The sequence below is a fragment of the Homo sapiens genome, chromosome X, assembly GCF_000001405.40.
Source record: "Homo sapiens chromosome X, GRCh38.p14 Primary Assembly".
Classification (NCBI taxonomy): Eukaryota; Metazoa; Chordata; class Mammalia; order Primates; family Hominidae; genus Homo; species Homo sapiens.
In genome coordinates this window covers 70,125,091-70,141,905 of record NC_000023.11, presented here as the reverse complement: position 1 = coordinate 70,141,905, position 16,815 = coordinate 70,125,091, and the positions used below count along the sequence as shown (strand labels likewise).

Genomic DNA, 16,815 nt, shown 5'->3' with positions numbered 1-16,815 from the left:
CTAAAATGGGGATAAGAATGTCTATTTCATGGGGTTGTTAAAAGGATCAAATGGAAAAACACACATCAGAGTGCTTTGTGAGCAGCAATACACTGTTAGCTGATAAAGAAATTGAGGCTGGTGGGGGGTTGCTAAATGATGCCACATCTATTAAGTGGTAGAAATTGGATTAGTTACCCCAGGTCTGAATCCTAAGTCTAGGCTTTTTCCGCTACAGCATTTTGCTTCCATCTTTTTTATGACCACTCTGTCTCTCCCAAAGACACCTCCAAGTACCCACTATGATCCAATTACTGGGTTAAGCACCAAGGGGATGCAATTATATACAACGACATAATTAGTATACTGAGATACAATCAGTCAAGGTCTCTGACCTTGAGGAGTTTCAAGTCTAGAGACTGACAGATAGTTATACTGTGATAAGTAACATGAACTAAATGCCATGGTATCTGGGAGGGAAGATAATTAGGGAAAGGCTTCAAGGAGGACATAACATTTGTTTTCTCTTTTCCAGGCTCCTTTAAGTACCTGTACCTTACTGAGTTTCTTTTTTTTTTTTGCAACAGGGTCTTGCTCTGTCGCCCAGGCTAGAGTGCAGTGGCGCAATCTTGGCTCATGGCAACCTCCACCTCCCGGGTTCAAGCGATTCTCCTGCCACAGCCTCCCGAGTAGCTGGGATTACAGGTGCCTACCACCAGGCCCAGCTAAATTTTTTTGTATTTTTAGTACAGACGGGGTTTCGCCACCTTGGCCAGGCTGGTCTTGAACTCCTGACCTTGTGATCTACCCACCTCAGTCTCCCAAAGTGCTGGGATTACAGGTGTGAGAGACCGCACCCAGCCACCTTACTGAGTTTCTGATTGCTCTTTCCTTCCTCTTCCTTCTCCCTTAACTTGCCCCAAAGTTTTATCCTTGACTTTTTTTCTGTCTACATGTTTTTCCTTGGCAAACTCATCTACACCAACGAAAGCACAGGCCTCCTAAATTTTTCACATCAGTCACAAAACAGTCTCATAAATTTTACTTGCACATTTCAAGTAAATGTGTCTATGGAAATGACTATCCAGTTGTCACTTTAGGACCTAAATTCAGTAAATCCAAAACTAGACTCATTACTTACCCAGCGTCCACTTCTCTATTTCTCTCAAAAGGATGGAGGTGCTGTTACTCAAGCAGACTCATACTCCTCAAATATGGGAAATAGAGGACATACATGAAGAAACAGGTTTTGAGACAGAGGACATACCATTCAGCTGTTTTATGTAAGATGGCCTCAGTATCTAAAGGCATGGGTTGGGGGACTTCTGGAAAGTAAATAAGGATCTGAGTAATTTGTTTTCTAACCATGTAAACTATTCTTGCAAAAGTAGTATCTCTGATAGCTATAACTTCATTTTTTATCACTTCTTCCTATTTAAAGTACTATTATAACATGCTAACTTGTATTTCTCCCTCTGCCTCTCTTCTTTTTCAGTATTTTATATACACATCACTTCTTCATGCAGAGCTGCAACCATACTCCTCTTAGCTTCTGCCAAACCAGACTATTATGTAGTCTTTGAACATACCTAAATATACCCTGGCTTTGGGCTTTTGTTCATCTTGTTTCTCCTGCTTGTCAATAATAAGCATTGCTTGAGGAACTTCTATATGCCAAGCTCTATGGCAGGCATAACATAGTGAACAAGAAATGGCTTGTGCCCTCATAGAGTATATACTGTAGTAGGGGAGAGAGACAAAACTCAGAAAGACACATGAAATGACTGCACACAAGTGCCAAGAAGGAAACAAACATGAAGCAAAGAGAGAATAATAGTTGTTAACTACTTAAAGAGACTGATCTGGAAAGGCCTGAGGAGTGACATTTAAGCTGAGACCTAGAGGATGAAGAATTAGCCATATGACGAGCATTCCATGCAAAGAGAACTGCACACACAGACATTCTATAGAGGGACAGAGCTGGGTCTATTCAAAGAACTGAAAGACGGTCATTGTGGCTGAAGTCTAGTGAACGAGGGGAGAATGATACATGGTGAGACTGAAAAGAGGCAGGCAGCAGATCACACAAGGCCTTGGAGCTGATTTGTCTATCTCAGCTGAGAAATGCTGGTAGCCTAGACTGAGGTATGATAGTGGAGATGGAGAGAAATAGAAGGATAGAAGATACCTTTTGTAGCTGGAATGGAAAGGCCTTTGCTGATGGACTGGATGTGAAAATTCAGAAAAAGTGAGGAATTGAAGCTAAATCCTAGGTTTCTGGTTTAAAAACCTAAGTCAATGGTGGTACACTTACTGAGATGGGTGAGGAGGCACATTTGGGGGTTAAAAAGCCAAGGGTTCAAGGTATGACATGTCTGTGAAACACCCATGAAGGAAGGGTGTTGCAAGTATGGGTCTGAAGGTCAGGAGGGGTCTGGGCTAGTAATACGAATGTGGGAGACATTAGTATAAAGTTAAGTGTTGATATCTGTCAGGCATTTAAGAAAAACGTTCAAAGCGGCAGGCCAAAGAAATGCAAATCAAAACAATAGATACTTTCTGTTTGCCCAATTGGATTTTCTTTTTTCTTTTCTTTTCTTTTTTTTTTTTTTTTTGAGACGGAGTCTCGCTGTTGCCAGCCCAGGCTGGAGTGCAATGGTGCGATCTCGGCTCACTGCAACCTCCACCTCCTGGGTTCCAGCAATTCTCCTGCCTCAGCCTCCCAAGTACCTGAGATTACAGGCACCCGCCACCATGCCTGGCTAATTTTTGTATTTTTAGTAGAGATGGGGTTTCGCCATGTTGGCCAGGCTGGTCTCGAACTCCTGACCTCAGGTGATCCACCTGCCTCAGGCTCCCAAAGTGAGCCACCGCACCCGGCCACCCAATTGGATTTTCTAAGTATTAACACCCAAGACAAATGCAGTGGAACATATTCTGAAACTCTGTTATTGTAGAAAGCAACACTTTTACCACATATCAAGAGCCTCAAAATATTCAAACACTTTGACCCAGTCACCGGCTCTAGAAATCTACCCTAAGGAAACAGTGACAGATACATTTAAAGATGTTTGTTTATGGCATTACTCAGAATAGCAAAAAACCAGTGTCTAAATATTTGACAATAACAGATTAAATAATTATGGTACAACTAGAGCATGGAACATTCAATATCATGGTTTCAAAAGACACGAGGAAATGCTCATGGTATAATGTTAGGTTAAAAAAACAGGATAAAAAGCTATAGTTACAGCATTCCAAATTTATTAGCTTAAATAACTATGTAACTGAAAGGAAACACATCAGAAAGTTAACAATGATCATCTATGAGTGCTAGGATTGAGGCTTATTTTTTATTTAAAAAATATTCTTCTGTTTTGCAAACTTTCTACAATGAGCACTATGACTTTTACATTCAGAAAAATCTTTTTTTTTTTTTTTTTTTTGAGACAGGGTCTCGCTCTGTCACCTAGGCTGGAATACAATGGTGCGATCACAGCTCACTGCAGCCTCAACAAGTGATCCTCCCAGCTCAGCTCAGCCTCTGGAGTAGCTGGGACTACAGGCCTGTGCCACCATACCTGGCTAGTTTTTTATTTTTATTTTTTGGTACAGACAGAGTCTTACTTTGTTGCCTAGGCTGGTCTTGAACTCCTGGGCTCAAGTAATCCTCCCGCCTTGGCCTCCCAAAGAGTTGGGATTACAGGCATGAGCCACCGCACTCAGCCTAATTTCTATTTTTAACCATCCTTTAAGACTCATCTCAAATACCATTTATGTTCTTTTTTTTTGAGACACAGTCTCATTCCATTACTGAGGCTGGAGTGCAATGGCGCAGTCTCGGCTCACTGCAGCCTCCGACTCCCGGGCTCAGGCGATTCTGCTGCCTCAGCCTCCCGAGTACCTGGGATTACAGGAGTGCATCACCACCCCCGGATAATTTTTTTTTTTTTTTTTGCAGAGATGGCGTTTTGCCATGTTGACCAGGCTGGTCTTGAACTCCTGACCTCAAGGGATCCACCTGCCTCAGCCTCCCGAAGTGTTGGGATTACAGGCATAAGCCACCGCGCCTGGTGTCAAATGCCATTATGTTCTGAAACCTTTTCTTCATCCCTCCAACCAGATGTGACCACTCCCTCATCTTTCTCTTGCAGTTTTTTTTTTTTTTTTTTTTTGTATAATTATTTGGATACCAAACTCACTGTTTAAACTACCTATTATCTGCTGACAGGCCGCCCTCAACTTCTTACAAAGGACAGGATGTTAAATTCCATTTCGTATCAGTCTAGCCCATATCCTCAGTCACTCACTATCCCCTAACTTTATTATTCCTCATGGTCCTTACCAGCGGAAATTACATTATTTACTAGCTTACTGTTTGTCTCTACCACCAGAATAAAAGCTCCATAGCAGCACTGACTTCATCTGGTTCTCTAACACCTAGAACAGCCCCACAGGAAGCAATTAATAAATATTTCTGAATAAATGAATCATCTTCAGCTCTCTAGACCAAGCCTCTCCTCTGAGCTTCAGACTAACAGACACCTCTACTTATCTCCTAGGCACCTTAACCTCAACATGTTTCTATACTAAATTCATACTCTCCCCTTCCCCGATCTTCTCTTCTTCCTCTTTCCCCTTCTCAATAAATTTCACAGCCATCCACCTAAATCAGAAACATGGACATCTTTCCTTGCTGCTTCCTTCTATCTCACCTCCCACAACCAATTGATCACCAGGTTTCCTGTAGATTCAACCCTCCTAAATGTACTCCCCCATCCCTCTACCATTGCAATAGTAAACCCTAGTCACCTTTGTGACTTAACTGGGTCTAATCTTTTCCCTCACTGTTTCCTAACTGCTGGTACAGTGTACTAGCTAAAATGCAAATGTGATCATGCTACTATTTGAAAAGAAACAGCCAGGGCACAGCGGCTCACACCTGTAATCCCAGCACTTTGGGAGCCCGAGGTGGGTAGATCACCTGAGATCAGGAGTTCGAGACCAGCCTGGCCAGCACGGCAAAACCCCATCTCTACTAAAAATACAAAAACTAGCCGGGCGTGGTGGCAGGTGCCTGTAATCCCAGCTACTTGAGAGGCTGAGGCAGAATTGCTTGAACCCAGGAGGTGGAGGTTGCAGCGAGCCAAGATCACACCATTGCACTCCAGCCTGGGTGACAAGGGTGAAACTCTGTATAATAATAATAATAATAATAATAATAATAAAGAAAAAAGAAACAGAACTCTTCAGTGGATCTCAGTCACCAACCAGAGTAAGCTCTTTGGCGTGTCCTACCTAATAGCAGCTGACATTTACAGAATACTCACCACATGCCAGATATTGTGCTGTTTTATGTGATTTTTCCCATTTGTGCTTATTAACCCTGAGATAGGTACACATGCATCTCAACTTACAATAGGGCTGCATCTCAATAAATCCATCATAAATGGAAAATATGGTAAGTTGAAAACGCATTTAATACACCTTATTGAACATCATAGCTTAGCCTAGTTTACCTTCAACATGCTCAGAACACTTATATTAGCCTACAGTTGGGCAAAATCATCTAACACAAGGCCTATTTTATAATAAAGTGTTGAATAACTCATGTAATTTATTGATGTTCCCCTGACTGTGTATTGCTTCTGCACCAATATAAAGTTAAAAAATTCTAAGACAAGCCATCGCAAATCGGGGACCATCTGTACCATTATTACTTAGATTTCACATATGAGGAAAGCTGAGGCTCAGTTAGGTTAAATAACTTCCCCAAAGTCCAACAGATTATAAGTAAAGCTGGATCTCAAACCCAGGTCTCTGACTCTATGACCCATACTCTTAGCCACAAATAATAATAGTTGACTTTGAGTGTTTACTGTGTCAAACATTGGGCTAACTGCTTTATATATATTTCTCTTTTAATCCTCATAAACTACTTTATGAGGAAGAACCTATTATTATCTGAATTTTGCAGCTGGGGAAATTAAGGTACTGAAAGATTAAATAACTTACCACAAATCACAGTGATTAATCACAGTCGTCGAGCTGGGATTCAAACACCTTACCAAGTTCTCAGCAACAAGTTTCTCTTCACGTTCCTCACATCCCAGGCTCTCCTTGATGTGGACCCTACAACATTCTTCAGTATCATTCCTTCCCCCTTACCACCACCCTCTTTGTGTTCTACCATCACCTAATTGCTCATAGCTGCTGTTTTTGGTCTACACATCTCCACCCACCACTGTTTCTTTAATGCCTCTGTGGCTTTACTAAGGCTTTACATACTCTGCCGGCTAATGCCCTCCTCTCCTCTTCCCCTGGATATTCCTATTTACCCTTAAAGAACTCAGCACAGGAGTCACCTCTTCCAGGGAGCTTTCTCCTCTCTCCTGCTCCCTTTGGTTAGGTGCCCTTCCTGTCTGCTCTCATAGTACCTTGTGCATCCCTCCACAACATCAGTTTATATTGATATTCTGTTTCTATGCCCGTTTTCCTCACCAGATTGTATGCTCCTCCAAGGCAGGGACCACTCATACTCACACAAATACCTATACAGTTTGTATCCCCAGTGCCTAGCATAGTTCCTAGACATCATGACCACCCATTAAATGTTGTTTAAAAAACAAACAACAACAACAAAAAAAACCTAAGAAAGTAAGCAACTTTTCCAAGGTCACACAATGAAGCTGTGCCAGGACTAAGATCAGTTCAGGATGTTACACATCTACTCCAGTAGTCTGAACAGAGCTCCTCAATCAGTGGACCATAAAATGGCCTAGCTTTGCCTTTCAGAGACATCTACCCCACTGTACCATATGAACATTGCTATGATGTGATGTGGAAAAGGTTGGGAGACACTCTGCTAAACTACATTGCTGCTGTTGCCAACCATAAGGTAGTAAGGGTCTGATAAGTAGGTATAATCATCTCAACAAAAGCAGAGGCTTCTTGGAAAAACTCAGGAAAGTTTGCTCTCCCTAGGGCCTATGCTCAATAAGAACCAAGAAAGTGACACATACCATTCTGGCCCCCCACCACCCGCCAAGAAAGCATGCCCCTGAAAAGCACCGCCATTGGGCAGGCCTCATATTATAGCTATTGACCCACCTCTGTATTTTAGCCTGTCTTTGAGATGCCATAGCAACGAGACTAGGATAAGCCATGGAGGAATTGGCAGTGTGATTTTCAGCAGAGTTGTTCATGGTTTTGGGCAGCTCAAACTCTGCCACATGATAGCAATGGCACTGAGTTAAGTAGTTTATAAAGTGTTCTCGAGCCCGCTGCAAATGATCTAGACGCTTGCTGGGGTTGACTTGTTTCATGGTGAGGGCTCCTTGAAACGCTGGCACCAAAAGGTACTTCAGGTCGGTGGAAGCAATCTCTTCCAAATCTTCATTTCGGCTGGAAGAGCAAAAAGGAGGCAGTGAAGCCTGACTAGGCATTCAAATTGTGGCCCTTGCTTTCTGGGGGACGGAGTGGGAGGCTGGGCTGGGAGTGGACCAGAGGGAGGAGGCACGGGGAACAGCGGCCAGTTTCACTCAATGAAAGTGGCTGAGGGCTCACACCCAATGCCTATGCAATCAGCAGACGCTAGGAAGCAGAGTCGTAAGATATCAACCATCTGGGAAGAGAGGTGGGGAATGTAAACAATGTACACAAGATCGCAGTGGTAAGTAGGAACGAAACGTTCTCACCACTAAAGGTCCCCTCCACTCAGGCGCAATGGCTCCACCCTTGGTAACCATTATTACCTTCGTTCTCAGCCATTATTACTATCTTCCCCCATACCTGAACAAGTCGAGCTGCGATAACATTTCGGCAGCCTTCTCAAGGAGGTCCAAGCCCTTGAACACCTTCTCCTGGACTATCCGGGAACCGGCGGGTTCAGTCGCCACTTCTACTTCGTCCAGTAACTGTCTACCAGTTTCGAACAGCTCGGGGAGCCGCGGCAGCTGTAACTCGTCCTCAGCAGCCATCTTGGGGAGAGAGGAACCCGGAAGATCTCTTTTCCGGGGTCAAAGGCAACCTTGATAAAGAAGAATTAGGCGAGCGCGGACAAAACCGGAAGAAGCACCTCATTGGTCCAGTAGCTTCACTGTTAACAAAGCATCAAAGGACTTCCGGGAGCCGCTGTTAGCCGGCCCTGGCAACCGTTTCCATAGACTCATTTTACCAGGCAGCCCGTTACAAGTCGTAGGCATCTGTTAAAAGCAAACAAACAAGCAAAACCCTAGGCGCTGTTTTACCATGAGCTCCTCGTCGCCGACACGGGGCTGAGAAGTTCTGTGGGCTCTGAAGCCCGGGTGAGGCGAGGCTGAATTCGGAGCGCGAGGAGTGCGGACGAGCGAGTGCGTTTTAGGAGCCAGTCTGGCGCGCCCCTTACCTCGCGAGTAGCTCCCTAGGTTGAGGAGTCCAGGGACTCTAGCCGCCGCACCACTCCCACGGTTTGAAGATCCGGTCGCTTGAGCGCGAAGTGCAAGTAGCGCCCCCCTGCGGTTTCCGTCCACCCACCAGATGGAGCTCCGGGTTCCTCCCAGCCAATCCTCTCCCGTCCTCTTCCCCCTTCACCCCACACACGCCTACGACCCGTAGGCCGGCGTCCGGTGGAGCCCCCCTCAGCAAGATTGGCAACCTGCAACTCCGGTCACCGCACAGCCGGCTTCCCTTCGTGCACTTAGTTCCTACATCAAATGTTATTTCTGTGCAACCTTCCTTGTCTCTCTACCGCCTTCCACCCTGTGCCCTTCAGCCGCCAAGTCTGGGTTTCTCCTATGCATCTCTATCATGGCACCTACCACGCTGTATAATTGCTAGTGACTTACAAATCTCTCTTATCAGAATGAATTTGACTCATCTTTGCACCACTCTGGCTAGCCTGAGTACTCAGTATCAGTCATTATCTGAATAAAAAAAAAAAGTGATCAGTTTGGAAAGCAGCCAACTTATGCAGAACAGCATTGTTCAGTAGGTAGTTACTAGCTACATGTGGTTACTAAGCACTTGAAAGTGGCTATTTTGAATCGAGATGTGCTGCAAGTGTAAAAAACACCCCAGATTTCAAAGACATTTAAAAAAAAAAGAATGAAAAATGTAAATACTTTTTACATGGACTACATGTTGAAATGATAGTCTTTTGGATATGTTGGATTAAATATATTATTAGAATTAATTGTACTTCTTTCTTTTCACTTTGTAAATGTGCCTGCCAGATAATTTAAAACTATATTTGTAGCTCCCATTATATTTCTACTGGACAGAACTGATGGAAAACATAATTTCAGGACTTCAAAGAAGGGACGTCATTGTTTTGAACAAAGCAATATAAATACATACTGATTACCTTAGGACGCAGCCTGAATTGTCCTAGGAGATTTAAGTAGCAGGCACACTGTCTACCCCTGAAAATAAACTTTTAAACTAGTATTTTAAACTACATATCGTTGAGAAGAAAAAAAGCTTCATTAAAAAACAACTAGAGGGCAATATAGGACAGTATAAAATAGGTGATATGTTGTATTGCACAGGCTGTTGGAAAAGCAAGAAAGGGCAAGTCATCCCATGCTAGGAGTAGTTCAGAAGGCTTCTTAGACATGACATGCGGTCACATAGAAGAATGTCAAAGTTTAAAGGGAACCCCCAAAATCGGAGGAAAAACTTGAGACCAGAAAGGTTAAGGGACTTGTCCAGCCAGTTTGTGACAAAGTCAGTGACTTCTGCGTTCAATTGTTTCTACTCCATTAACCTTCAGTTGGGTAGGATTTAGAAAGATGAAGACCTTTAATGTGGGACAGATTGAAGCCCCAAACTAGAACAGTGCTTCCTAAGAGGGAGAGGAGGCTGTGGCACACATGTAGGTTGAAAAAGCTTCCCAGGTGATTCTAATAAACCTTCCCTTGCAACCCCTGCTTTATAAACTAAGAAGGAAGTGAGGCTTTGGCGAATTACCTATTTGGTTTATCTGGCACCTCTAGTAAACTGACCTTTCAGGGTCAGGCTTGGCAGGGAATATAAAGAAAAAGATAGTACTTGTGGAGGAGACTTAGAAATGTAGTAATTGTGAGAGTAAAGATAATTTGCTTCTCTGCATTTGCTTGGATTAAAACATGTCTTTACTGTTACTTAAGAGGAAAAAAATGTGCACAGTCTTAATTTGGTCTTAAACTTTGTAAGTCATTTTTTATGGCTTTCAAAATTAGTCTTTTTTTTTTTTTTTTTTTGAGACAGGGTCTCACTCTGCCACCCAGGCTGGAGTGCTGGAATGCATTGGCACGATCTTAGCTCACTGCAAACTCCGCCTCCTGGACTCAAGTGATCCTCTACCCTCAAGCCCCCCAATTAGCTGGGACTACAGGTGCAAGTCACCACTCCTGGCTAATTTTTGTATTTTTTTGTAGAGGCGGGGTTTCGCCATGTTGCCCAGGCTGATCTCAAACTCCTGAGGTCAAGTGATCCACCCGCTTCACCGTCCCAAAGTGTTGGGATTACAGACGTGATTCAGTGTGCCCAGCCAAAATGACGGTCTTTATGGGAGATGCCAATTACTTTCAGAGTGCCTGTTATATATTAGAGTTGTCATTTTAAGCATTGCATTTCATCTTATTCTGAAAGAATACCAAGATTAAAAAGTGGTTAGAAAAAAAGGAATAATGGCCGGGCGTGGTGGCTCATGCCTGTGATCCCAGCACTTTGGGAGGCCGAGGTGGGCAGCTCACCTGAGGTCAGGAGTTCAAGACCAGCCTGGCCAACATGGTGAAACCCTGTCTCTACTAAACATACAAAAATTAGCTGGGCATGGTGGCGCGGGCCTGTAACCCCAGCTACTCCGGAGGCTGAGGCAGTGAGCCGGGAGGCAGAGGCTGCAGCGAGCCGAGATCACACCACTGCACTCCAGCCTGGGCGACAGAGCGAGACTCTGTCTCACAAAAAAGAAAGAAAAAAAGGAATAATAAAAACGAGTCGTTTGCTGTGTTTTGTGTGTAAACACTTTATCATATTAAACTCCTGTTGTGCATGGGAGACTTTTTAAAATCCTAGTTTAGGGCACTTAACAATCATGAAAGTATAACGGTACTTAAACTTTTTGTAGTAGCATAATTCTTTTTCCAAAACAAGTTTTAGAGAGCCTGTAATTTCTAAAAGGACTGATGTATTTGAAGAGGATACAAAGAAGCCTGCCAACTCAGCCACTGGCCCATCTTCCTCAACCTGCTCAGTGAGTGGCACTCCAGGTGAGGGACTCAAGGGCTCTAAGTAACACAATATAAAAAGCATTAATCTGGCCAGGTGCAGTGGCTCCCGCCTGTAATCCCAACACTTTGGGAGGCTGAGGTGGGAGGATCCCTTTAGCCCAACTCTGCTACTGAATAGCTGTGGGACCTTGGAGAAATTCCTTCCTTTGCTCTTTCCATACATGCTGTGTGCTACCTGAATGCTAGGCATTGAGAATTCGAACACTACCCGAGGTTTAAGCTCTTAAGGGGTCCATAGTTCCACGGAAGAGACAGGTAAACAAATAATCAAATGTTAATTTGATAAATATTTTGATAAAGGTGTGTTCAAGGTGTTAGAGGAATGGAGAGAATAACTTTGGCCCGGAGGGGCATTCTGTTAAAGGTCAAACTCAATAACATGACTTTAAGATCCTTTCTAATCTGCCTGCTGACATCCTTTTCATTTTGTTCCTTCGTGGATCCTAAGCTGAATCTTTAGCAAACTCTCCTAGTTCTCCAAACCTATCATGTTCTCTTAGGCCTTCATGCATTCACATAGGTGGTACCTTCTGCCTGGAATGTCATCTTCCTTGTCTGTGCCTGGCAAATTTCTATTCATTACTCATAACTTGGCTCAAAGATCACTTGCTCTGGGAAGCACTTCCTGATTTTCCCCTGTAGGCGAGGCTACCTCCTTCTTAGCTCTTATAGCATTTGATTCATCCCCCTGTGATAGTACTGTACTGTGGTTATCTTTATCCACACCTGTCTCTCACTAAACTGAGAGCTCTTTAAGGCCAGGGAGAGTGTCTTACTCATCTTTGTTCACTCTAGCACAGAACCTGCCACCCAGTAGGTAGGAGAGACTCAATGTTAAATGAATAACTTTGTATCATAATAATACCTAACCTTCTCTGAGCGCTCACATCCTGCCAAGTGACTATGCTAAGTACTTTACATGTGAAGGAGTTCAGGAGATGCCATCCCAAAATATGCCACTTTGGTATGCTGATTATTTGAACCAAGGGCACTTGGGGAACAGTGGATACAGGCAGAGGCTGTCTCTGAGCTCCCCTTATCTGCCTAAAGCTGGCTCCTCCAAAAGGAATGTAATTGTCATGAATCCCCTCTCTAGGAATCTTACCAACCAGGGAAGATTAACTTGGATCACAGGAGAGGAGATCGGAGGCTGACACCACACCCAGACAATCACCTATTCTTCTGAGAGCTGCTTTGAGAGAAGTTTTATTACCTGAAAGACTTTTTATCTGCATAACAAGACAACCTCTGTTACCACACATTTCCTTCCCTTGCTCTCCCATAACTCTTGTGTTGCCACCAGCCCCCAGGAAGCCCCAAGCCCCTATTCCTTTCTGTAGTTCAGGATGCTGTGTAAGCTTCAATTGAAACAATCCCTATAAACTTCATAAAATTAATCAGGGAAGAAGGGAGGGAGAGAAAAAAAATAAACCAAACTCGCAGCAAATTCAGCTTCATGCTGAATTCATGAGGTCAGCTTGCCCTCTGACCTGATTCCTCATAGTTGTTTGCTGCCTACTGCTTCAAAATCATGTAGACCCTGTTACAAGATTATAGTTCCCCTTAACTGTTCTATATCTCATTGCCTATTCTTCTGTAAGCAGCCACATGGCACTTTTTACTGTAGCCATCCTCATCCAAATACCCTGAAGTTTTATGGGTGCAGTTGTCCTAATAATTGCCCATGGACTCACATCATCTATACTGTTTTGCCTTGCAAACTCAAATTATGAACGAATCCATAGTTGAACAATACTATTAGCCTGATGATAGCAGCAGGAGGCAGACAAATCCCTAGGCAGACAGGGGCGGGTCCCCTGTGAAACCTGACCTTCAAACCAAAGACAGTTTAAAGTCTGAAAACCAAGCTACAAGTCTCGAATAAATCCACAGACCGGATTGAGAACCTCTCTTCCTGTTTGGCGTGCTTTCCTCTGATTGATCCCCACCCTTCACCTATTTTACATATACCTACCCTTCCCTAATTAGTTTTTTACACCGTTGTGCCCATCTTTGAGTGGTGTCTTTTTTTTAGCCTTTTTTTTGCACACTCAAACTAATCAGCACACACTTCCCCATTCTGAGTCCATAAAAGCCCCAGACTCATTCACACTTTGGGACTACCCGCCTGCAGGTTGTGGGGAGCCTACCTGACTTTGGGTAAAAGGGCTGCCCAACTTGGGTCCCCCTCTCCACTGAGAGCTGTTTCATCACTCAGTTTGCCTTGCTCACCCACTGTCTGTCAGCATAACCTCATTCTTCTTGGATGTGGGAGAAGAACTTGGGACCCCCTGAGTGGTGTGTGCGAACAGAACTGTAACTGTAGCACTCGCCTCTGGCTTGCTGAGCAAGCAGGAGAGGGAGCCGCTGAGCGCCACATGCCCTCCTTTGTCAGGCTGTGGACAGTGGGACTGAAAGAGCTGTTAGCATGCTGCAACACCCCCTTTGCGGCTTCGAGGTCACTGGCATCCCTGTTCAGGCACCACCACAGTCCCTTCATCCAGACGCCTAAGCCCAAGGTGGAAGCAGGTCGTGGCACACTTGGCCCAGCTGAGGGCTGAGCATGGATCCCACAGTGAGTGGGGGATCCAGGCCGGAGCACAAGCCAAGTGCAGCCCACTGGGCCGAGTGAGCAGGGTGCCTCCTGTGGCAAGCCCAGGGCTGAGTGAGGCCCAGCCAGGGGCATTGCCAGCCACAGAGGTCTCCAGTGGGCCAAGCAGCACTGAGGTCTCCAAACACTCCCCTAATAGGTGTGTGATGGCTTTTAGCTAGTCTTACTAATCTCCCTCTCCCCACAACCATCAACCAAATTGGAGAATTTTTTGTAACTATAGCTTCATTCTCCTGATGTAACTTCAGTATGTGTTAATAGGACTTAACATGTTAATCACAGCCCTCTATTCACTATATATATATTAATTATAACACAATGAGGGATATTTACCTATTACGTTAATAGCATTAAACCTTCCTTTACATGAGAAAACACCTTAATGTCCATACATCTTTTACCTCTCCTCTTCCTGTCACTGAACCCCAAAATGATTTTGGGCTTCATATATTGTAAATACAGTTGAACCAAAACATTAGATTGTGAGTCTAATAATAGAAGCCTCCAACTTCTTATTTACCAAGAAAGCATGCAAGAACTGCTAATTCATGTCCCCATATCTAACAATAAGGCTCAGCTTTTAAAGGATAGAAGCTATTCATTGGCCTTAGGAGCCAAAAAGATTGGTGCAACTCCAAATAAAAGTAATACATATATTCTCCTCCTTTACCTTAACTTTTCCAATTATTATTACTTCAACTAATATTTACAAAAGTAACTCCTACCTCACCTACATAAAAACCTCCATCACATGAGCACTTCATTACCAGTCTCATTCCAACTACTACATTTATTTACCCACTTCAGGAAACCATCATCTCAAAATGACACTGAAAGACCACCCAAACCCTAAAACTCTCACTTAGCTTTAAACTAGATTATTTTTCAATAGTATTTATACCGGTAGCACTCTTCATCACATGGTTGGTTATAGAATTTAAATATGATGGCTTGGCACAGTGGCTCACGCCTATAATCCCAGCACTTTGGGAAGCTGAGGTGGGTGGATCACCTGACGTCAGGAGTTTGAGACCAGCCTGGCCAACATGCTGAAAATACAAAAATTAGCCAGGCGTGGTGGTGTGTACCTGTAGTCCCAGCTACTCAGGAGGCTGAGGCAGGGGAATCACTTGAACCCAGGAGGTGGAGGTTGCAGTGAGTCAATATCATGCCACTGCACTCCAGCCTGGGCAACAGAGTGAGACTCCATCTCAAAATAAATAAAAATAAATAAATAAATAAATAAATAAATAAATATTATATATACACTCAGGCCCTAATATCAATCATTCTTCAAATATTTACTCACATTTCTCATCACCATACTAATTCTAGTCACTACCAACTTTTCATTGGATGAGAGGGAGCAGGTATCGTATCTTTACTACTAATCAGCTGATGATGTGGCTGAACAGATGCTAACACAGCAGCCCTATAAGCAATTCTACATAATCGCATTGGAGACATTGGCTTCATCTTAGCAATAGCATGGTTCCTATCATTCTCTAATACATGAGAATTTCAACAGATATTTATTCTTAACCCCAACCCCAATATCCTCCTACTAATTGGGCTCCTAGTAGCAGCAACTGGCAAATCAGTTCCATTTGGACTTCATCCATGACTTCCATCAGCCATGGAAGGCCCAACTTCCATCTCTGCCCTCCTTCATTCTAGCATAATAGTAGTAGCAGGTATCTGCCTACTAATTTGCTTTTACCCCTTAATACAAAATAATATAATCATTCAGGCACTTACACTATGCTTAGGTGCCATCACCACTTTATTCACAGCGATCTGAGCTCTAACACAAAATGATATCAAAAAAATTGTAGCATTTTCTACCTCGAGTCAACTAGGTCTCAGTAGTTACAACTGGCATTAATCAACTTCACCTAGCATTTCTTCATATCTATACTCACACTTTCTTAAAGCCATAGTGTATATGCTCTGGATCTATTATTCATAATCTAAATAATGAACAAGACATCTTCACTTCCTCCTCACTTATCATTGGCAGCCTCGCAGGTATACCATGCCTTACAGGCTTCTACTCCAACGATCTCATCATTGAAACCACAAGCACATCATATACCAATGGCTGAGCCCTCTTAATTACACTCATCACCACCTCCCTAAAGGCTGTATACAGTACCCGAGTTATTTTCTTCACACTGCTAGGACAGCCTTGCTTTACAACCTTAGCTGTCATCAACAAAAATAACTCAGGCCAGGCGCAGTGGCTCACACCTGTAATCTCAGCACTCTGGGAGGCTGACGTGGGCAGATCACTTGAGGCCAGGAGTTCGAGACCAGCCTGGCCAACATGGTGAAAGCCCACCTCTACTAAAAATACAAAAAATCAGCTGGGCGTGGTGGCACTCGCCTGTAATCACAGCTACTTGGGAGGCTGAGACAGCAAAATCGCTTGAACCCAAGAGGCAGTGGTTGCAGTGAACCAAGATCGCGCCACTGCACTCCAGCCTGGGTGACAGAGCAAGACTGCATCTCAAAAGCAAACAAACAAACAAAAAACAAAAAGTAACCCCCTTCTAATAAACTAAATTAAATGCCTAGCAATTGGTAGTATTTTTGCTGGATTTTTCATCTCCAGCAATATTACTCCTATACCTATTCCCCAAATAACTATGCCCCTCTTCCTAAAACTTACAGCCCTTGGCATAACTATTCTAGGATTTTCAGTAGCAATAGAACTTAATCTTCGTCAGGTGTGGTGGCTCACGCCTGTAATCCCAACACTTTGGGAGGCCGAGGCAGGTGGATCACCTGAGGTCGGGAGTTCGAGACTAGCCTGACCAACATGGAGAAACCCCATCTCTACTAAAAATACAAAATTAGCCAAGCATGGTGGCACATGTCTGTAATCCCAGCTACTCAGGAGGCTGAGGCAGAGGTTGCGGTGAGCCAAGATCACACCATTGCACTCCAGCCTGGGCGACAAGAGTGAAACTC

The 16,815-nt window shown here is 43.8% G+C and overlaps 1 protein-coding gene and 2 pseudogenes across 6 annotated transcripts in view, besides 1 other annotated feature; 1 reads left to right on the top strand and 2 right to left on the bottom strand.

The window, feature by feature from the left end:
• Positions 1 to 8,459, bottom strand: part of IGBP1 (immunoglobulin binding protein 1) — a 32,878-nt gene extending 24,419 nt beyond the window's left edge. For 3 of the 6 annotated variants that reach the window (NR_199784.1, NR_199785.1, NM_001370194.1), the window contains exons 1-2: positions 7,771 to 7,971; positions 7,090 to 7,383 (exon numbers count right to left, since the gene is read on the bottom strand). Coding sequence is in view for 4 of the 6 variants with exons in the window: in NM_001370194.1 (NP_001357123.1) it covers positions 7,090 to 7,383; positions 7,771 to 7,958 (482 nt within the window). In the remaining 2 variants the exon portion in view is untranslated. Of the gene's footprint in view, positions 1 to 7,089; positions 7,384 to 7,770; positions 8,184 to 8,365 lie in introns of those variants that run through there. The other 3 variants (NM_001551.3, NM_001370192.1, NM_001370193.1) reach the window with 3 other exon arrangements.
• Positions 7,581 to 8,040: an enhancer, noted in NCBI's record as "active region_29728". NCBI's record gives its function as "activates an Ori minimal core promoter by ATAC-STARR-seq in GM12878 lymphoblastoid cells {active_cell/tissue: GM12878}" and the evidence as "EXISTENCE:reporter gene assay evidence [ECO:0000049][PMID:35858748]".
• Positions 12,810 to 14,287, top strand: MTND4P31 (MT-ND4 pseudogene 31; annotated as a pseudogene).
• On the bottom strand, positions 14,535 to 16,561 carry MTND5P39 (MT-ND5 pseudogene 39; annotated as a pseudogene).